The 22,293-nt window shown below is 40.2% G+C and overlaps 1 protein-coding gene across 1 annotated transcript; it reads left to right on the top strand.

Moving 5' to 3' along the window:
* Positions 395 to 19,312, top strand: TLR3 (toll like receptor 3). The gene is made up of 5 exons (NM_003265.3): positions 395 to 487; positions 7,852 to 8,299; positions 10,079 to 10,270; positions 13,559 to 15,411; positions 15,884 to 19,312. Exons 2-5 carry the CDS (start codon positions 7,859 to 7,861, stop codon positions 16,110 to 16,112), a joined length of 2,715 nt encoding a protein of 904 aa, NP_003256.1. The 5' UTR covers positions 395 to 487; positions 7,852 to 7,858; the 3' UTR covers positions 16,113 to 19,312.
* The last annotated feature ends 2,981 nt before the right edge of the window (positions 19,313 to 22,293 follow it).

A 22,293-nucleotide genomic window follows, 5' to 3' on the forward strand; every position in this document is an offset into this window, starting at 1 on the left:
GCCAGACGAAAGAAGGGAAAGTACTTCAGCTTTGATTAGGGATTTTTTTTTCTGTCCCTGTGACCATACACTACTCAATTCTGACAGCTTCGCATGAGTCTAGCAGAAAATTGAGGGATTCACTGTTATTCCTTAACTTGCAGAGGTCCAGACCCGCCCACATCAAATGGTGAGGTCCCCACTTTCAACTTTAGCTGTTGCTAAATCTGTGACCCTTTCAATGAAATCCAAGGATCTCAGCTTAAAAAAAGTTAAAATAAAATAAAAACTAGGTGTTTTTCAGAGGCGGTTTGAAACGCCTCTCTGAGGTTGTCAGAGATTGTTTTTGTTTTCTCCCTTTGCCCTTCTTGGAATGCACCAAACATAAAAGCATTTTTTTTCAAGCTTTACTTTCACTTTCGAGAGTGCCGTCTATTTGCCACACACTTCCCTGATGAAATGTCTGGATTTGGACTAAAGAAAAAAGGAAAGGCTAGCAGTCATCCAAGTAAGTGAAGGTGTTCATTTCACGTTCTTACTGGGCAGGGTCTCTCTTGCTGAGTAGAGTTTGCTAGCAGAATGCATGTGGTTTTAGCCTTCTTTGGTCTTTCTTTGATCTGGTGCTTGAAATCTAGTCAGAATTATTCAGGAAGGAAAGTGGAAGAAAAGGGATATGATATGGGCATGGGAGAAGGGTATAACTCAGAACACAAGTAATAGCACCAATATCTAGTTAATGTGATAATGTATTTATGCAGTATTTAATTTTTTTCTCTGTAGCATTCTGTACCTGGAAAAAACACATTAGGGAAGCTATGGAAATCATTTTGCAACAGTCTTTTTAGCAAATCACATCTTTGCCTTAAAGAAACAAAACTCCAAGAGGTTAAAAGAGCGTATCCCCTTTTGTTAGTTTTATTGGCTGGAGGGGAGACAGGAGCTGGCATTGTATGACAATGTCTTAGATAGGAGAGAACATTCAGGTATGCCTAGGAGTAAGTAAATGGCTTTCTTTCACCTAATGAAGGATAATGGAAGAAGTGGAGAAGTGGAAAGTTGTTAAGGTGTATGGGAAGATCAGAAACTGGTATCGGCAATTGTGGGGTACTCGGGTAAAAATGGAGTTGGCTTCAGCAAGTTGATTCCCAGGTTTACAGATGATTACGTGCTGGTATGTGTCTTCATATGGGCGTGCCTGTGTATGAACCTACTACAAAGGTTGCAAAGTTTACAAATCAAACTATGGATAGTGGTTAACTCCAGGTAGTCTGCCTCCAGACCCCATGTCCTAACCATCAGGCAATATTGTCTCTCACTTGGACAAAGAATGTGAATTCCATGTGCCCTCACAAAATATTTCCAAAATTCTAAGGCTGAGTGAGTCTCTTTTTAATTTTTTTTCATTTTCTTTATTTCTGCTAGATCTCATTCAACAGCAACGTTTTCTTCACTCTCATTTCATCCTTTAACTGCATTTTTGCTTGTTTTACTGAAGCATGTCCTAGAATAACCTTTTCATACAGATCGTATGGCTATAAACTTACTGAATTTTTGCATATCTCAAAATACTTATACCTTTTTATTTAGTTATTCAGATGGATGTGAAATTTCCCTATCTTATTTTATTTTATTTTATTTCATTTTATTTCATTTATCGATTTAGAGACAAGGTCTCGCTGTGTTGCCCAGGCTGAAGTACAGTGGCATGATCGTGGCTCACTGCAGCCTTGACCTCCCTGGCTCAAGCAATTCTCACACCTCAGTGTCACGAGTAGCTGGGACCACAGGTGTGAACCACTATGGCCAGCTAATTTAAAAAAAAATTTTGGTGGAGATGAGGTTTCCCTGTGTTGCCCAGGCTGGTCCCAAACTCCTAGGCTCAAGGGATCCTCCAGCCTCAGCTTCCTAAAGTGATGGGATTACAGGCATGAGCCACAGGTAATTTTCTTGGCCTGGTCAAAGGTAATTTTCTTGTTTTTTAGAGGTAAGGTCTTGCTCTGTTGCCCAGGCTGGAGTGCAGTGGTGTGATCATGATTCATTGCAGCCTTAACCTCCTGGGCTCAAGCGATCCTCCTGCCTCAGCCTCCCAAGTAGCTGGAACTACAGGCTTGTGCCACCACACTTGGCTACTTTCTAAAATATTTTTGTAGATACGGGGTCTCACTATGTTGCCCAGGCTGGTGTTGAGCTCCTGATCTCCTTCTGCCTACACCTTCTAAAGTGCCGGGATTGTGGGGATGAGCCACTATGCTTTGCCTGGATATGAAATTTTAAATTCAAAATAATTTTCTCTAAATGTTTGGAAAGCTTATCTCTATTGTTTTCCAGTGGTTCATGTTACTGATGAAAAGTTTTTTATTAATCAAGATCTCTTTTCTTTGGAAATGAAGGTTTTAGGATTTTTGTGTGCATGGTTGCAATTCTGAAATTTCATAGGAGTCTCTCCAAGTTTGTTCCTCTTTCACTCCTCCTGCCTAGCATTTGGTGAGTTTTGCCCACTGATGAAATGTCTTCAGATGGGGCAAGTCCTTAAGTCATTCAGGGATATGCTTTGTAATGGATTAGTCCTTCTCAGCAATTCTGACCTATAGCAGGAGCCCTACCAGAGGGGTACATCTCACCTAAGCAAGGAGAATGTATTGTAGGGACCTTACCTATGAGTTGGTAAATAGAGATAGGAAGTTCTGAAGGAACTGGAAGAGAGGTTTGGGACACTCTCAGAGAGGGGGCAGGTGGGGAGCTGGTCCCCAGCATTTGAGAGGTATCATTGCCAGCCCTGCATCCTTCACGTGCCTGGGCAAGTCAGCAAATGCATCCTTGCTGGCCTAGCTGTGGCATTCCTCATGGCCTGTGGATATAAAGAATGTGCACAGCTTTACAATGATTAGTGCCAGAGTTGTAAAGGCCATGAGATGGGAATATTAGTTTATGGAAGCCAGTTTTTTTTGTTGTTTTTTCTGTTTCTGAGAACTAAATTAGAATATTAGTAAAATCGCTATTTTTAAGTATATTAGAACAATTCTATATACTCACATTAGTTCTGTTTTCCTAGGATTAGTCACCTAAGGTGATTTTATTACCTGACACTTACCTGGAATAATTTTCATGTCATGACTTTTAGATCTTGTGGAATATCTATTTAGATATCATTACCACTGCTTCATCTCCATACCTTGTGGGTGTATTTGATTTTTTAAAATATCTGAAATTTGGTTGTTGATCACACCACAGAGTATCACACTGGGTACACATCCCACCAAAATAAAGTGTGACAATGTATGGAGTTGAGTGGCTTTCCTGAGCTGACTAAATGCCCATGGAAAGCTATTGTATGAGTGCATTCTCACATTGCTCTACAGAAATACCTGAGACTGGTCATTTATAAAGAAAGAGGTTCAATTGGCTGATGGTTCTGCAAGTGGTGCAGGCAGCATAGCAGCCTCTGCTTCTGGAGGAGCCTCAAGGAGCTTTCACCCACCACAGAAGGCAAAGCCAGAGCTGGCACCTTCACATAGCCGGAGCAGGAAGAAGAGAGAAGGGGAAGGTGCCACACACTTTTATTTTTTTATTATTTATTTTGGGGGGAGTGGGGGCGAAGTCTCACTTTGTCACCCAGGCTGGAGTGCATGTGGTGGGATCTCGGCTCACTGCAGCCTCCGCTTCCCTAGTTCAAGCGATTCTCCTGCCTCGGCCTTCCCAGTAGCTGGGATTACAGGCACCCACCACCACACCCAGCTAATTTTTGTATTTAGTAGAGACACGGTTACACCATGTTGGCCAGGCTGGTCTCAAACTCCTGACCTCAGGTGATCTGCCCACCTTGGCCTCCCAAGTGCTGGGGTTACAGGCGTGAGCCACTGCGCCCAACCACCACACACTTTTAAACGACCGAATCTCATAAGAATTCACTCACTCACTATCGGGAGAACAGCACCGAGGGGGTGGTGCTGAACCATCTGTGAGAACTCTGCCCCATGAGCCAGTCACCTCCCACCAGCCCCCACCTCCAACACTGGGAATTACAATTCAACGTGTGGTGTGGGTGGAGACGCAGAGGCAAACCATATCGGCTATGTATTCAACATATATTTATTTCTTCAGAGCCAACAAAGTGCCAGGTCTTGTTCTAGGCACAGACAACACCGTATGGAATAAGAACTATGTCCTCTACTATTATAGCTTCACATTCTAGTGAGAAGCAATAATTAATAATAAATAATACACAATATTGGATAATTTCCATCAACCATAGCAACGGAAAAGGCAATCTAGAAGAAGAGCAAGATGGGAGGTTTCGCTCACTGAACTTCAAGACTTGTTGTAAAGCTAAAGTAATCCGAACAATGTGGTATTGGCCTAAGAACTAACAAATATTTCAGTGGAAGAGAGTAGACAGCCCAGAAATAGACCCTCGCTTAAAACATTTACTCGGTTTCTAAGGAAAGCACAGAACAATCCGGTGGGGGAAAGAAGTCTCTTTAAAAAATGGTCTGACTGGACCAGGCGTGGTGGCTCACCCCTATAATCCCAGCACTTTGGGAGGCCGAGGTGGATGGATTACCTGAGGTCAGGAGTTCAAGACCAGCCTGGCCAACATGGTGAAACCCTGTCTCTACTACAAATATAAAAATTAGCCAGGCATGGTGGCGCGTGCCTGTAGTCCCAGCTACTCGGGAGCCTGAGGCAGGAGAATCACTTGAACCCAGGAGGTGGAGACTGCAGTGAGCCAAGATGGCACCACTGCACTCCAGCCTGGGTGACAGAGTGAGACTCCATCTCAAAAAAAAAACAAAAAACAAGATCTGACTGACTGGATATACACACAAAAAACCATGACTCCTACTTCATGCATACACAACAATTAACTTAGGAGAGGTCACACACCTTCACATAGAAGCTAACACCATAAAGCTTTTTAGAGGAGAGTATCTAAGTAATGGGAGTAGGAAAATTTCTTAGAGGAGACACAGAAATGATAAAAATAAAAGAGAAGATGATAAACTAGATTTCATCATAATTAAGAAGACATCAGTAAGAAAATAAATAGGCAACTCACACACTGGGAATAAATATTTACAAAATAGGAATCTGACGAAGGACTGACACTCAGATACATAAAAAATTCCTACAACACAATAATAAACAGGAAACAATCTAATAGATGAGCAAAATATTTGAACATATAAGGGAAGATAAATGAACAATAAGCACATGAAAATTGTTAAATATCGTTAGTCGGCAGGGAAATGCAAATGAAAACCATAATTAGCTATCACTATATGTTCAGCAGAATGATTAAAAATAATAATAAAAATAGGTACCAAATGTTGTCAGGAAAGTTGGTGGTGCAACACTTTCCCAAAGGATCTGGCAGTTTCCTGTAAAACCAAATGGCCTCACCAAATGGCCCAGGCATTCCAATCCTAGTTATTTACCCCAAAGAAATAGAACACAGTCATGTGGCACTTAATCATGGGGATATGTTCTGAGAAATGCATCGTGAGGGGACTTCATCCTTGTGGGAACGTCACAGGGAGTGCTTACACAGAACTAGGTAGTACAGCCTGTGGCGCCCAGCCTGCAAAACCAGACAGCCGGCGTGTGACTGCACTGAATACTGGAGGCAATTGTAACACAATGGGAAGTACTTGTGTATCTAAACATAGAAAAGGTAAGTGAAAATGTGGTACAAAAGGTTACAAATGGCACTTCCATAGGGCACTTACCACGAGTGGAGCTTGCAGTACTGGGAGTGGCTCTGGGTGAGTCTGTGAGTGAGAAGGGAAGTGGATGTGGAGGCCTCGGACATGACTGTGCACCACTGCAGACTTTATGAACACTGCACACTTAGGTTATACTAAACCTATTTAAAAATTTTACTTTCTTCAGTAATAATTAACTTATTATAACTGTTTTACTTTATAAGAGTTTTAATTTTTCAAAACTTTTTGACTCGTGTAATAATGCTTGGTTTAAAACAAGCACATTGTACACCTATACAAAAATATTTTCTTTGTATTCTTATTTTATAAGCTTTTTTCTATTTTTAATTTTCTTCTTTTTTTTTAACTTTTTAAACGTTTTTGTTAAAAACGAAGACACAAACACACACATTAGCCTAGGCCTGCTCAGAGTCAGGATCATTAATGTCACTGCCTTCCACCACGTCGTGTCCCACTGGAAGCTCTTTAGGGGCCACAACACGCACGGACCTGTCATCTCTTATGACAACAGTGCCTTCTTCTGGAATCCCTCTTGAAGGACCTGCCTGAGGCTGTTTTACAGTTAACTTAAAAAAAAATTAGTAGAAGGAGTACACTCTAAAATTATGATAAAAAGAATAGTATAGTAAATACATAAATCAGTAACATTCATTTATTATCATTATCAACTATTAGGTACTGTAAATAATTATGTGTGCTATATTTTATATAACTAGTAGTGCAGTAGGTTTGTTTACACCAGCATCACTACAAACATGTGAGGAATGCATTGCACCATGATATTATGACGGCTAGATTAGTAGGTGATAAGAATTTTTCAGTTCCATTATGATCTGCAGTGACTATTTATTTATATGATTGTAAAATTGTGATTGAGGCTGGGCACATTGGCTCATGCCTGTAATCCCAGCATTTTAGGAGGCCAAGGCTGGAGGATCACTTGATGTCAAAAGTTTGAGACCAGCCTGGGCAACATAGCAAGACCCTATCTCTCTATAAAATTTAAAAAATAATAAAAAATTAGCCGGGTGTGGTACATGCCTGTAGTCCCAGCTACTTGGGAGGCTGAGGTGGAAGGAACCCTTGAGCCCGAGAGTTGGAAGCTGCAGTGAGCCATGATAGTACCACTGTACTCCAGCCTGGGTGACAGAGTGAGACCCTGTCTCTAAAAATAAATAAATAAATACAAATAATTTTTAAAATTGTAAATAATATTTACTGACTTTAGATTTGCTGAATTAATGTAGGCCAAGGACCTCATATGTAATCATAGTTTCAGGGTAAAATGCTAACATTTCACATCTTGACAATGTCAAGCAATGTTATAGCTGACAGTTTTAGGAAATGTAAGAAAGGAAGAAATGTGAAGAAAAATGTATTTATTTATTTAAAATAAAATAAAAATTAACTGGCTGGGCACGGTGGCTCACGCCTGTAATCCCAGCACTTTGGGAGGCTGAAGTGGGCAGATCATGAAGTCAAGAGATCGAGACCATCCTGGCCAACATGGTGAAACCTCGTCTCTACTAAAAATATAAAAATTAGCCAGGTGTGGTGGCGGGTGCCTGTAATCCCAGCTACTCGGGAGGCTGAGGCAGGAGAATCACTTGAACCCAGAAGGTGAAGGTTGCAGTGAGCCGAGATTGCACCATTGCACTCCAGCCTGGTGACAGAGCCAGATTCCATCTCAAAAACAAAACAGAACAAAATAAAACGAAACAAAAACAAACAAAATTAACTAAAGAAAAGTTGTGAATAGAATGAGAGAAAAATATAATTAAATTCCTTATCTTTATAGTGAAATGAGTAAATGAAGAAATAGAAGATCAAGAATATTAAGTTTATGGAGGTAATCATGAGAATTACAGATAGAACCTATCAAAAGAGAGACATTGCAGCTGCAACTGGCATTAAGGTGAAGGATAGGAAGGAAGTTTGGATGTTTTATTTTTTACCTTTCTGTACTGTTTGACATTTTTCCGTTTGATGTATGACTTGTATAATATGTACTTGTATGGCATAAAACTATGAGTAATAACATCATACATGGTCATATTTTGGTGATATATTTTACAAGGAATATACCAATGCATTTGAAAGCCATCTGCTATTAATGTTGCTCATACTTTTTAATGTTTCTTTTCTACAGCAGAATCATGAGACAGACTTTGCCTTGTATCTACTTTTGGGGGGGCCTTTTGCCCTTTGGGATGCTGTGTGCATCCTCCACCACCAAGTGCACTGTTAGCCATGAAGTTGCTGACTGCAGCCACCTGAAGTTGACTCAGGTACCCGATGATCTACCCACAAACATAACAGTGTTGAACCTTACCCATAATCAACTCAGAAGATTACCAGCCGCCAACTTCACAAGGTATAGCCAGCTAACTAGCTTGGATGTAGGATTTAACACCATCTCAAAACTGGAGCCAGAATTGTGCCAGAAACTTCCCATGTTAAAAGTTTTGAACCTCCAGCACAATGAGCTATCTCAACTTTCTGATAAAACCTTTGCCTTCTGCACGAATTTGACTGAACTCCATCTCATGTCCAACTCAATCCAGAAAATTAAAAATAATCCCTTTGTCAAGCAGAAGGTAAGTTGAAAATGTCTATTGTTACTAATGTTTTTAAGTCAGTTACCCATCCTTAGACTTACTATCTAAATATCAAGGAAATAAAGAGGAAGAAATTTGATCTAATCCAATTTGCCACAAATATTGCCATTATAATAGAAAATGCTTCCAAAAGAGAAAATATACTCTTAAATCAGTTTCATCCTTAATTTTCAATGTTTGCCTCTCTCGCTTTCTCCCATTAGAAATAGAACTTAGACGCAAGAGATAGAAGTAATGAACAGAGAAGAATCAGAATATCCCCTAAGAACATGGAAACTAAACTTTCAATGCTGCTGATTTAGCATGTGAAGTCGTGACAAAAGTCTTGAGTCCAAATTCTGACTTAAATAAAATTAACAAATTGATACAATGATCAAGTGAATTGTTCAACTAAAAATTACCTACTCCTGGTTTCAGAAATCTCCTCAGTGGCTATTTCAATGACTTTTTCAATAGTGGTGTCACTTTTTCAATGATTCCTTTTTCTTTTCAAAACTTTGCTCGAATTTTAGTTTTTTTTCTTTTCTTTTTAGTTGATGTTTAATAATTGCACATATTTATGAGATAGAGAATGATTTTTCAGTATGTGTATATAATGTGTAATGATTAAATCAGGGTAATTATCATATCCATCATCTCAAATGTTTCTCATTTGTGTTGTGAACATTCAAAATACGCTCTTCTAGCTTTTAAAAAATACACAATAAATCGTAGTTAACCATATTCACCCTACAATGCTTTAGAGCACCAGAAAAAAAAAAACGCATGTTATTGTTTCTAAATCTGAGGCAATTATTAAGTGCTTTTCTTTAACCAAAGCGATTTTCAAGTTACTTCATTTTATGGCCTTATAAAAAATTGAACATTGCTCTTCCTCAGATGCCAAGAATAATGTACAAATGTAAATATGCTGTGAAACATAAAGTGATTTGCTCCCTAGCTATTTTAAATCTTTTCTTGGGTCTTCTTAGAGTCTAATGTGGATGAAATATCTTTGAATACAAAGGCCTCAAAATCTGGCTAGAGAAATCATTGCAAAATGTTATTTTTGTAAAGACTTAAATTAAAAAACCTGCTTCTCGTTAACAGCGATTACATTAGACTTTGCCTTAACTGGTATCGCTTTCCCTTACCTTTTGCCTGAATTTGAAGCATACATATTCAAAAATAGCAAAGGGTGATAAAAACATCCCACAGTACTGATAAAGCAAACAAAACTTAATATTCTGTACTAGTCATGACTCAAAATTTATATAATATGACCCTTTCTCAGTATAAAAATCTATTTAAAATTTCATAGATGGCAAAATTCTCATGCTTTTTAAGAAAACATTCTGTTCTTTTTTCTGATACTTATTTTCAAGGTTAAAGCATGACACTGTGTGTTTGATAAGCCATGTGAAAATTTCTTGCATCATAAGTAAAAGGTTATGATAAATAAGTTCATAAATTAGCAATGTTCCTTATATCATAAATAAGCTTAAGTCTTTTTTATTTTGGTAAGAGAAATAAAATGATTCTTGAAGTAAGAAATAAAATCCTTCCTACAATGGTTGCAAGGGTGACCATCACAAAGATTATAACGTAACAAAGATTAATCAGATCAAAGATTTTTTATTATGCTTACTGTTAGTATTCTACAGAATAATAGAGAGGTGTTGATTTTGCTGTTGAAGTATTTTTCAGATGTACTTACATTTAAAAGAACTGTTTTTGACAGCAAGACTCTAACATATGCATATTATTTTTTCCCTTCAGAATTTAATCACATTAGATCTGTCTCATAATGGCTTGTCATCTACAAAATTAGGAACTCAGGTTCAGCTGGAAAATCTCCAAGAGCTTCTATTATCAAACAATAAAATTCAAGCGCTAAAAAGTGAAGAACTGGATATCTTTGCCAATTCATCTTTAAAAAAATTAGAGTTGTCATCGAATCAAATTAAAGAGGTAAGAAGTAAGGTAAAATTATTTTGCATTCTGCCTTTAAGGTGGATAGTCCCTATCTGTGTCACATACACAGGAATGTAATGCTCTCTAGCCTCTGCCTGTCTTCCAGCAATCCTTCCCACCTACTGCTTGGGGGCATTGGTGTCATCCTCCTGAGAGCTCAGGCAGCCCCAGGAGAGGTCGGGAGACGGGACTCTGCCGCCCTGCAGCACTGGGTGGAACCCCTGTGCCGTGACCTTGCGAACATCCTTAACATCTCTGAGTCTGTGTCCTCACTTATAAAGTGGAAATAGTGCTCTCTCACACAAACTCTCTGACAGAGTTATTAATTAAAGAGTACGATGGTCAAGAGCCCCAGGTTCACAGTCGGGTTAGCTGGCTTGGTCTCTGGGCTTTGTCTTTTAACAATCATGTTATCAGGCAAGTTATTCAAGTTCTCCCTCTCTAGCCTCCCAGCTTTCAAATGGGCGTGATAATGACTCTGCTTCATAGGACTGTGTGGTAAAGAATTTAGGACCGTGTCTGGCGTAGGCAGTGCTCAGGAAATGATCAGCAGCAGTATGTGGTTATAAAAACCTTCCTATAATGAAGTCAGCTTAAATAACTGACAGGACTGTCTCTTTTTGGAATCATGATCTTCAAGCTAATCATTTTCTGTCACGGGAGAGCAACAACTATCTGGACCGGTGGCACAGGGGTAAAAGAATTTACCAAGACAGTTGCAGGTGGAGAAAGGCACATTTATTCGTGAAAGTAGGAAACTACATTGCGAGAAGGCAACGGGCATATCAGCAAGAGAAGCTGACTGCAAAGAAACAAAGGCTTGCTGGGGATTTTACAGGGTCTTGTTTATGCTGTGTGCTGAAGAGGGCTTTGAGCTGCACTGACAGCGCCCAGGTTGCAGTGGGCTAACTCGCAGGGGCCTGGTGATAGCTGGGCACAGGAAGATTGTCAGTTATTTGCACAGGAGGGCTACGTGTCCTGGATCATGAAGACAGACTAATAATTTACCTGCTCTTTTGCTTTCTCTCGGTCCCGCCAACTGACTACTTTTCCCTAAATAGGACTCTGCATTTTCACATACAGGTTTGTCTGTATTTTACACTCATTTTGTTCCAGGCTATAAGACTACTGGAAATCCTTAATTACAACTCTATTTTTTTTTTCAGACATAAAAATAAATGGCGTACAAATTTATCCTAAGATATTAAGATGTTTTGTGCAAGCTCTTCATTTTATTTTTTAAACTGCATTTTTCTATGATTAAGACATTTATTGTAGTAATCTTATTAAATATATGAATAAATGAGAAAATAATAATAAGGGGTGATTTTAAAAAATCACTCAAATGTCCATAGTCAGAAACAACCACTGTTAGCATTTGGGTATATTTATCCCTGGCTTTTCTCCAAATAATTATAAGGAAAAACGATAGCTTAAATTCTTACTGTACTGAAATTCACACTGTTAAGGCACTTAACTGTGTGTCAAGTGCTGTGATAAATTTTTAAAAATATTTTATGTATATAGTATTTTTAATCAATATTTTATTTTATTTTATTTTATTTTATTTTTTGAGACTGAGTTTCACTCTTTGTTGCCCAGGCTGGAGTGCAGTGGCACAATCTGGACTCACTGCAACCTCCGACTCCCGGGTTCAAGCGATTCTCCTGTCTCAGCCTCCCGAGTAGCTGGGATTACAAGTGCCTGCCACCACCCCTGGCTAATTTTTGGATTTTTAGTAGAGACAGGATTTCACCGTGTTGGCCAGGCTGGTCTCGAACTCCTGACTTCATGATCCACCTCCACCTCGGCCTCCCAAAGTGCTGGGATTACAGGCGTGAGCCACCGCGCCCAGCCTGGAGGGGGCTCTGATTTGTAATGTGTCACTTGGGGGACAGTAGGGCTAATGCAAAAAAAGAGAGAAGTATAGAAGAAAGGGTGCTTTATCATAAACAAATGAGTTAAAATGCAAAGCAGAAAATTATGAAATTAAGTATGATAAATCTGCATGATAGCATTATTTTACAGGCATTAAAATTAAGCTTTGGAATGCTTCTTAATTGTATGGGAGATGTTCATAATATGATATTAAATCTAAAGAGCAGGAGACATCAATCTTAGCTACTCAGGAGGCTGAGGCAAGAGAATCGCTTGAACCCAGGAGGCAAGGGTTGCAGGGAGCTGAGATCGCACCACTGCACTCCACCCTGGGGGACAGAGCGAAACTCTGTCTCAAAAAAAAAAAAAAAGAAAAAGAAATCAGAGCCCTTTACTCCTCTGGCGGTTTCGACTGCCTGCCGGAACTGGCCTCCATTCTCTCTGGATTCCTCCTCTCCCACCTGCTGTTCTCTTGTCCCCGAAGTGAGTCCCAGAACAGCCAAGGCTCTGGTAAGGGTGTAGGACGGAGCAGAAGGGAGCTGGAAAAACACGATAGTAAAAGAAAGTCAGGAGAAAATCCGGGTGGAAAGACGAGAGGGAGAGCTAGAGCTCAGAGTTCCAGAAAGGAAAGTGTGCCGTCACCGCCTCATCATAAAAGCCATCCACAACTTCCTTCCATGAGGCTCACTGAGAACAGCGGCACCAAGACACAACCAGGAACTGCCCCAGGAGTGACTTCACGAGCAGTTTATTCATTGCAATTGTTCTCATGGTGATAAAGAAAAAGTACCAGGAGATGGATCCTGGACTGGAAGGTCAGAGAAGCCTCCCTGAAAAGGTGGCATCTAAGCTGAGGCTGTGAATGCTGAGCAGAAGTTAGCCCGTGGCCAGGGGAGGTCAGAGGCTGGAGTAAGAGGTGGGCGCTGCAGGAACCGAGTAAGGAAGGACTCGTGCATTACAGGAAGGGGGAGAAATGCTCTGCCCATGGGATGTGGTGAAGGGTGAGCGGAGATGGAGTAAAGAACTGCATCTGGCCGGGTGCAGCGGCTCAGGCCTATAATCCCAGCACTTTGGGAGGCTGAGGCGGGCGGATCATGAGGTCAGGAGTTCAAGACCAGCCTGGCCTACACGGTGAAACCCCGACTCTACTAAAAATACAAAACTTAGCTGGACGTGGTGGCGCATGCCTGTAATCCCAGCTACTCGGGAGGCTGAGGCAGGAGAATTGCTTGAACTGAGGAGGTGGAGTTTGCAGTGAGCTGAGATTGCACTGCTGTACTCCAGCCTGGGCGACAGAGCGAGACTCCGTCTCAAAAAAAAAAAAAAAAAAAAAAAAAAAGGCTTTCAACAGCATTACAGAGTCTGTGTTCTTTTGATTGTTAACCTCTTTTTTTTTCCTACCTTTAGTTTTCTCCAGGGTGTTTTCACGCAATTGGAAGATTATTTGGCCTCTTTCTGAACAATGTCCAGCTGGGTCCCAGCCTTACAGAGAAGCTATGTTTGGAATTAGCAAACACAAGCATTCGGAATCTGTCTCTGAGTAACAGCCAGCTGTCCACCACCAGCAATACAACTTTCTTGGGACTAAAGTGGACAAATCTCACTATGCTCGATCTTTCCTACAACAACTTAAATGTGGTTGGTAACGATTCCTTTGCTTGGCTTCCACAACTAGAATATTTCTTCCTAGAGTATAATAATATACAGCATTTGTTTTCTCACTCTTTGCACGGGCTTTTCAATGTGAGGTACCTGAATTTGAAACGGTCTTTTACTAAACAAAGTATTTCCCTTGCCTCACTCCCCAAGATTGATGATTTTTCTTTTCAGTGGCTAAAATGTTTGGAGCACCTTAACATGGAAGATAATGATATTCCAGGCATAAAAAGCAATATGTTCACAGGATTGATAAACCTGAAATACTTAAGTCTATCCAACTCCTTTACAAGTTTGCGAACTTTGACAAATGAAACATTTGTATCACTTGCTCATTCTCCCTTACACATACTCAACCTAACCAAGAATAAAATCTCAAAAATAGAGAGTGATGCTTTCTCTTGGTTGGGCCACCTAGAAGTACTTGACCTGGGCCTTAATGAAATTGGGCAAGAACTCACAGGCCAGGAATGGAGAGGTCTAGAAAATATTTTCGAAATCTATCTTTCCTACAACAAGTACCTGCAGCTGACTAGGAACTCCTTTGCCTTGGTCCCAAGCCTTCAACGACTGATGCTCCGAAGGGTGGCCCTTAAAAATGTGGATAGCTCTCCTTCACCATTCCAGCCTCTTCGTAACTTGACCATTCTGGATCTAAGCAACAACAACATAGCCAACATAAATGATGACATGTTGGAGGGTCTTGAGAAACTAGAAATTCTCGATTTGCAGCATAACAACTTAGCACGGCTCTGGAAACACGCAAACCCTGGTGGTCCCATTTATTTCCTAAAGGGTCTGTCTCACCTCCACATCCTTAACTTGGAGTCCAACGGCTTTGACGAGATCCCAGTTGAGGTCTTCAAGGATTTATTTGAACTAAAGATCATCGATTTAGGATTGAATAATTTAAACACACTTCCAGCATCTGTCTTTAATAATCAGGTGTCTCTAAAGTCATTGAACCTTCAGAAGAATCTCATAACATCCGTTGAGAAGAAGGTTTTCGGGCCAGCTTTCAGGAACCTGACTGAGTTAGATATGCGCTTTAATCCCTTTGATTGCACGTGTGAAAGTATTGCCTGGTTTGTTAATTGGATTAACGAGACCCATACCAACATCCCTGAGCTGTCAAGCCACTACCTTTGCAACACTCCACCTCACTATCATGGGTTCCCAGTGAGACTTTTTGATACATCATCTTGCAAAGACAGTGCCCCCTTTGAACTCTTTTTCATGATCAATACCAGTATCCTGTTGATTTTTATCTTTATTGTACTTCTCATCCACTTTGAGGGCTGGAGGATATCTTTTTATTGGAATGTTTCAGTACATCGAGTTCTTGGTTTCAAAGAAATAGACAGACAGACAGAACAGTTTGAATATGCAGCATATATAATTCATGCCTATAAAGATAAGGATTGGGTCTGGGAACATTTCTCTTCAATGGAAAAGGAAGACCAATCTCTCAAATTTTGTCTGGAAGAAAGGGACTTTGAGGCGGGTGTTTTTGAACTAGAAGCAATTGTTAACAGCATCAAAAGAAGCAGAAAAATTATTTTTGTTATAACACACCATCTATTAAAAGACCCATTATGCAAAAGGTAGGTAAACATTGTGAAATTTTAAGTGTGTACTTGCTTTTCAATTAAATTTCTTTTTTTTTTTTTGAGATGGAGTCCTGCTCTGTTGCCCAGGCTGGAGTGCAGTGGTGTGATCTCAGCTTACTGCAGCCTCCACCTCCTGGGTTCAAGTAATTCTCCTGCCTCAGCCTCTCAAGTAGTTGGGATTACAGGCACGCGCCACCAAGCCTGGCTAATTTTTGTATTTTTATTAGAGATGGGGTTTCACCGTGTTGGCCAGGCTTATCTTGAACTCCTGGCCTCAGGTGAGCTTCAATTAAACTTTTAAATATTACCAATATTACTCACAACTCAAAGAATTTTTAAAATAAAATTAAGAAAAAAAAAACCTGAGTTTCAGTAACAGTTTAAACTCTACAGAGTATTTTTAAATAGTATTGCTTCTGGCTGTTAAAAACCGTATATTAATTCTTCAATACATTTTTTTACTTAGATTCAAGGTACATCATGCAGTTCAACAAGCTATTGAACAAAATCTGGATTCCATTATATTGGTTTTCCTTGAGGAGATTCCAGATTATAAACTGAACCATGCACTCTGTTTGCGAAGAGGAATGTTTAAATCTCACTGCATCTTGAACTGGCCAGTTCAGAAAGAACGGATAGGTGCCTTTCGTCATAAATTGCAAGTAGCACTTGGATCCAAAAACTCTGTACATTAAATTTATTTAAATATTCAATTAGCAAAGGAGAAACTTTCTCAATTTAAAAAGTTCTATGGCAAATTTAAGTTTTCCATAAAGGTGTTATAATTTGTTTATTCATATTTGTAAATGATTATATTCTATCACAATTACATCTCTTCTAGGAAAATGTGTCTCCTTATTTCAGGCCTATTTTTGACAATTGACTTAATTTTACCCAAAATAAAACATATAAGCACGTAAGAACATTGTCTACTGATTAATATACAATCAGCCACTGAGCCTATGACAGCTTAAGGAGTTTGAAAACATTCCTCATTTTAAGAAAAGTTAGAGGTATATGAGGGTTTGTGATGATCTTTTTGTATTTTGGATGCACTTAGAATGAAAGATAATTGTTTCAATGGGTATAATGCTATTTCCTTTGTAAAAGAGTAAAATATATACCCATATTTTTAACAAGTTTAATTACAGTATTTTTTCAATGGAAAAACTTTGTATTTTAGTAAGTACTTGTCTCAGTGTTGACTTTGTTAAATGTTAAATATTTTTTAATATACATACCCAAGGGCAGAAAACATTTGCAATTCATTTTTATTAGTTAATGAGATGATTATTTGAATGAATATTGACTTGTATTTTCCTGAGATTATGAGTTTCTGCTGTGGGAGGGTGGAAACAATTCTCTTACTAAAAGTATTGTAGGCAGGCTTGCTTTCTGAAGGCTAATCACTATTTGGCTTTGTGGAAACAGAACTTTCCTCCCATGGTCACAGACTCAGGAGATGGCGTTGGCAAAATCACTTGGTCCCACTGGGATTCTTTGACTCCTGATCTTGAAAATTATGATAATAAATGCATCTTAGATATTCCTATGTAATTAGTGATGATGATCGCTGTATAATATATTCAAAGGAATGTATTATTTTACCATAAAATAATGTGCTACGCATAAGGTAGTCCTTATCTAGAAAGACTATTTTTATTTTTGTTTTTTTGTTTGTTTGTTTTTTATTTGTTTGTTTTTGAGACAGAGTCTGGCTCTGTCGCCCAGGCTGGAGTTCAGTGGTCCAACCTCGGCCCACCGCAACCTCCACCTCTGAGTTCAAGCTATTCTCCTGCCTCAGCCACCCGAGTAGCTGGGATTACAGGCACATGCCACCATGCCTGGCTAATTTTTGTATTTTTAGTAGAGATGGGGTTTCACCATGTTGGCCAGGCTGGTCTTGAACTCCTGACCTCAAGTGATCCTCTCGCCTTGGCCTCCCAAAGTGCTAGGATTACAGGTGTGAGCCACCGCGCCCCGCCTTTTTATTTTGTTTTACAATACAACAAAAAATTTTTAGTTTTACAATAAAAGAGAATCTGATTATTGGAAATAGACCTGAATAGCTTTTTGAAATATTTATAGTTCTAGTATTTAAAGAGAAACCTGAAATTATAAAGCTGAGTTAATTTCTATACCTGAAATGTTCATTTGTCTGCTGAATTCAGGGAGCATTTGAGATGTCACATTTTGGAACTTTGATTTAAATAGTTCAGTATTCCCAAGGCTGAGTTCCATGACCCTGGAATGAGAAATATCCACTGTACCTCTGGTTCTGAAGAGTCTATAGTCGGCCAACACTGTGAATGTGTGGAGGACTAATTGTCACTTTCATGTTATTTGCCACCCTGACAGCTGAGACACTGCTTTTCAGCATTTTAGTTAAGATTTGCTTTTTAACTGTGCAATAATCATTTTATTTTGGCATTATAAAATAAAAATCACAACTTCTGCTTTTCTTATATGCTTTGTGTGTTATCACACAAATATTCTCAAATATTCATAAGATATTTTAAATAAATCATTGTGAATTAGTCAATATATCAAGTTGCTTAATATGTCATATATCAATGCTATTTAATATATAATATCTATATTTAATATATTGATATGTTACTGGTGGAGAGTGTCCAGGTTCTTGGTGCTTTGAACAAGGAATTGGACAAAATGCACAAAGAATGAGGCGACAAAAGCAGAGGTTTATTGAAAACGAAAGCACACCCCGCAGGGTGGGAGCGGCCCGAGCAAGCAGCTCAAAAGCCGGGTTACAGGATTTTCTGGGGTTTAAATACTCTCTAGAGGTTTCCATTGGTTACTTGGTTTATGCCCTATGTAAATGAAGAGGCTAAAGTGAAATTACAAAGTTATTTACTTGTTGTGCACCCTACGCAAATGAATAGCTGTCACAGCTGAGGTAGAGTTACAGTGATTTACTTGGTGGTAGAATGTTGGGATTTTTCCATTTGATTGAGTTCTAGGAAGCCTTTAGTTTCCCTGCCTGCAGACCCCATTCTCCTGCCTCAGATATATCAATGACATATTCAATACATCATTAAGTTGCTTAATATTTAAGAGGTTAAGATGCACAGGTAATGACCTCTAAATGAATGCCAATAAAAATAGTAAAAGGTGTAAACTCTGACTCCTATCTGACCTAGGTAGGAAGTAACATCCAGAACTTCTGCAGGCTGTCCTGTGTAATTGTTCTCCGGAGGAACCCTTGTCCCTGGGGTTTGAGAGAAGGGGATCGAGGAAAAGGATGTTTGTCTGAGCTCTTGTTTGATTTGCCCAAGTGACTTGACTTGTTTGAATCCTCTCAGGGTGCCATCATGTAATCTGTCCACTCCAACTTCTTCCTGTTTTTCACATTGCAAAACAAAACCCAACTGAATCGACACTGAGTTTAAAATAAATCTTGGTATTTAGGTTGTACCTAAAAATGATAACTTTTAGACTGTAATCAGAGGTAGATGCTATCAATTTGTTAGTGAGGAGGGGAGGAGTTTTCGATGCCACTTAGTTTACAATGTCTAATTGTTCAAATATACATCTAGGTTGTAAAGGAGACTCAACGGTAAGTTATAGTGACCATTGAAAAATGTAAAGGGGCTTCAAATCAAGAACTTAGAAGGAATTTCTTGCAATCTATTGAGACACAAAGCAGATGAGTGGTTGTCTGGGCCTAGGAACAGGAATGGGGAGTGGCTGCAAATAGGTGGAAGAGACCTTTTTTGGGTGATGAAAGTGCTCTATAATTGGGTTATGGTAATAATTGTACAACTATGTAAATTTACTGAAAGTCATTGAGTTGGACACTTAAAACAGGTGAATTTTATGATATGTAAATTATATATTCACAAAGCCATTAAAAATTGTATTTTTTGAGCAGCTACAGGTGCCTAGCCCTGTGTTAACTACTATGGTGAACAGTAGGATGGGATTTAGAGGTGTGGGCAATACAAGCTGGGTGGAAAGGGATTTCCAAAGATGGACCTGGGCAGGGAGGACTCCACAGAGGAGACCCAGCCCCTTCCAAGGTGGGTGAGATTTCAATGAGTGGAGAAGAAGATGGCAGAATGAACAGCAAGAGAGAAGTTCATGAGGGAGACATGAACTTGGTGTCGGGAGATAGTGGGGTGCCGAAGGGGATGGAACCAGGCTGCAGAGAGCATGGCAGAGATGTTTAGATGCAATGTTTTGAAATTGTGACTTTATGGGTTTAAACTGCCAAACCCAGACATCATGATGAAATTCCCTCCTGGGATCTATGCCTTAGATTTAGGTGTCAGCCAGTTAAACAGAGGAACATAGACTATAACTTCACAGTCCAAAGCCAGGCTGGCTCTCACATAACAAAAGGGGCTTTAAGCACTTTTTTCCCCTATAAACATATACATCTGTGTTAAAATAACAAAGGACAATCACTCATTAGTTACTAATTACACTAGGTGACATATTAGCCACTCTTGGCTCTTGCAACTCTCTAGCCTTGCTCCACTGTCCTGTTTATGGGAGAAAACAGTTGTGCCATGTGGCTATTTTCACAAACCATTCTTTATTCTTTGTGTGCATTGGGCAAGAGTCATCAGACTTTTCAATGGTGGAACTCTTCCACTTTTGTTTGAGGACTTCTGGGTAGACAGGGTTGGCTTATTTAGCTTCCTTTTCTCTTAGGTCAGTTCCCCAGGAAACAGGTTTTGGGATGGAGGTTTGCATGAAGGAAGTTTCAGGGGTGCTCTGATTTATAAGTGAGTGAAATAAGCTGGATCGGGAAGAGAGAGAATAATTAACTCTGATGCAATTCACAATTGCAGCTGAGTTCTTAGCCAGCCCCATGGGGAGCTCTGGAGCTGGAATGACCCTAGAGAATTGGGAGAAATCTAGGCAAAGGGGCTGGACCCCTCTCCATGCCCTCACATCAACCAGTCACAGACACAGGCAGCCCCAGGGAGGAAGTGTGACCTTAAGTAAAATGTTTTGCCAAAAGAAATTCAAGGGCAGGTGCAGTGGCTCAAACCTGTAATCCCAGCACTTTGGGAGGTGGAGGCAGGCAGATCACCTGGGGTTGGGAGTTAGAGACCAGCCTCACCAACATGGAGAAACCCCGTTCTAATAAAAATACAAAATTAGCCGGGCGTGGTGGCGTGTGCCTGTAATCCTAGCTACTTGGGAGGCTGAGGCAGGAGAATGCAGTGAGCCGAGATTGTGCCACTGCACTCCAGCCTGGGCAACAAGAGCAAAACTCTGTCAAAAAAAAAAAAAAGAGAGAAAGAGATAAAGGAAAGGAAGAAAGAAAGAAAGGAAGAAAGAAAGAAAAAAAAGAAAGGAAGATGAAAGAAAGAAAGAAAAGAAAGAAAAATTCAAGGAGAAGGCCACAGTTGTGAACCGTCAGAAGCGAACTCACTGTGCAGCTGGAGGAATAAGTGCCTGGATCCTGAGAGCAGAGCTCCCTGTAAAATGGCCTTTGCAAAAATTGTTAACAGTGAGAAAGTTATGATATTGAAGGGATCTGACCTAATCAACTCCATCTTGCTTCTAGTCTTGTTTATTTCTGGGTGCAGGCAAACTAACTTTGGGAAGAACTTAGTTCATAGTTTAACTTCGAAACAAAGATGGTAACTTCCCTTTCCCAAAACAAACCTCCTTCTTGCCAGGGAACCAGACTGCCTTTGTAGGACCAACAAATTAGCCACAAGGTTTATAACTTCCTTAATTACTCCTGCAGACAACATCACTATTTTAGAATGTAAGATTGGCCTTTCAAGATGTCTTTTCAAGTTTTTGCATTTCCGATAAATAACGGCTCGACCCACCTGCCAACAAGTTCTGTAGCTCCACCTAGGAACCAGCTCAGTGTAAGAGGACAGCTTTGGCTCCCTATGAGTTCATCTCCCACCCAACCAGTCAGCACTTCCCATTCCCCAGCCCCTACCCACCAAACTATCCTTAAAAAACCCTAGTCTCAAGGCCAGGTGTGGTGGCTCATGCCTGTAATCCCAGCACTTTGGGAGGCTGAGGCGGGTGGATCACTTGAGGTCAGGAGTTCGAGACCAGCCTGCCCAACATGGTGAAACCCTGTCTCTACTAAAAACACAAAAAAATTAGCTTGGTGTGGTGGTGGGCTCCTGTAATCCCAGCTACTCAGGAGGCTGAGGCAGGAGAATCGCTTGAACCCAGGAGACGGAGGTTGTAGTGAGCCGAGATTGTGCCACTGCACTCCAGCCTGGGCAACAGAGCAAGACTCCGTCTCAGAAAACAAAAACAAAAAAAAACCCTAGTCTACCAATTTTCGGGGAGACTGATTTGAGTAATAAAACACCAGTCTTCTGTTCAGCTGGGTCTGTATGAATTAAACTTTTCTCTATTGCAAATCCCCTGTCTTGATAAATTAGCTCTGTCTGGGCAGCAGAGAGATACTTGTTGGTGGTTACACCTGTTTCACTACAACACCCACCACGCCTTTTCAGGTACTTAAGAATTAAAAGGGCAGGTGCAATGGCTCATTGTAATTCCAGCATTTTGGGAGGCCAAGGTGAGAGGATTGCTTGAGGCCAGAAGTTTGAGACCAGCCTGGGCAACACAGCAAGACTCTGTCTCTACAAAAAATTTAGAAATTAGTTTGACGAGGTGGTATGAGCCTGTAGTTGCAGCAACTTGGGAAGCTAAGCTGGGAGAATTGCCCGAGGCCAGGAGTTTGAGGCTACAGTGAGCTATGATCATGCCACTGCACTCCAGCCTGGGTAACAGAATGAGACCCTATAACCACCCAATGGGTGTATCTTGCCTGCTGCCCAGATAGAGCTGACTGGAAAATTTAAAGAACAATTTGATGAGGGCGGGCGGTGGCACAGAGAATGGGGAATGCTGATTGGT

Source organism: Homo sapiens, chromosome 4, assembly GCF_000001405.40.
Source record: "Homo sapiens chromosome 4, GRCh38.p14 Primary Assembly".
Classification (NCBI taxonomy): Eukaryota; Metazoa; Chordata; class Mammalia; order Primates; family Hominidae; genus Homo; species Homo sapiens.

Excerpts from the sequence above, each read along its gene's own strand:
- TLR3 (NM_003265.3), top strand. The coding sequence starts at position 7,859 with ATGAGACAGACTTTGCCTTGTATCTACTTTTGGGGGGGCCTTTTGCCC. Across the intron at positions 10,271-13,558 it reads CATCGAATCAAATTAAAGAG|TTTTCTCCAGGGTGTTTTCA; the intron begins GTAAGAAGTAAG and ends TCCTACCTTTAG. Across the intron at positions 15,412-15,883 it reads AAAGACCCATTATGCAAAAG|ATTCAAGGTACATCATGCAG; the intron begins GTAGGTAAACAT and ends TTTTTTACTTAG.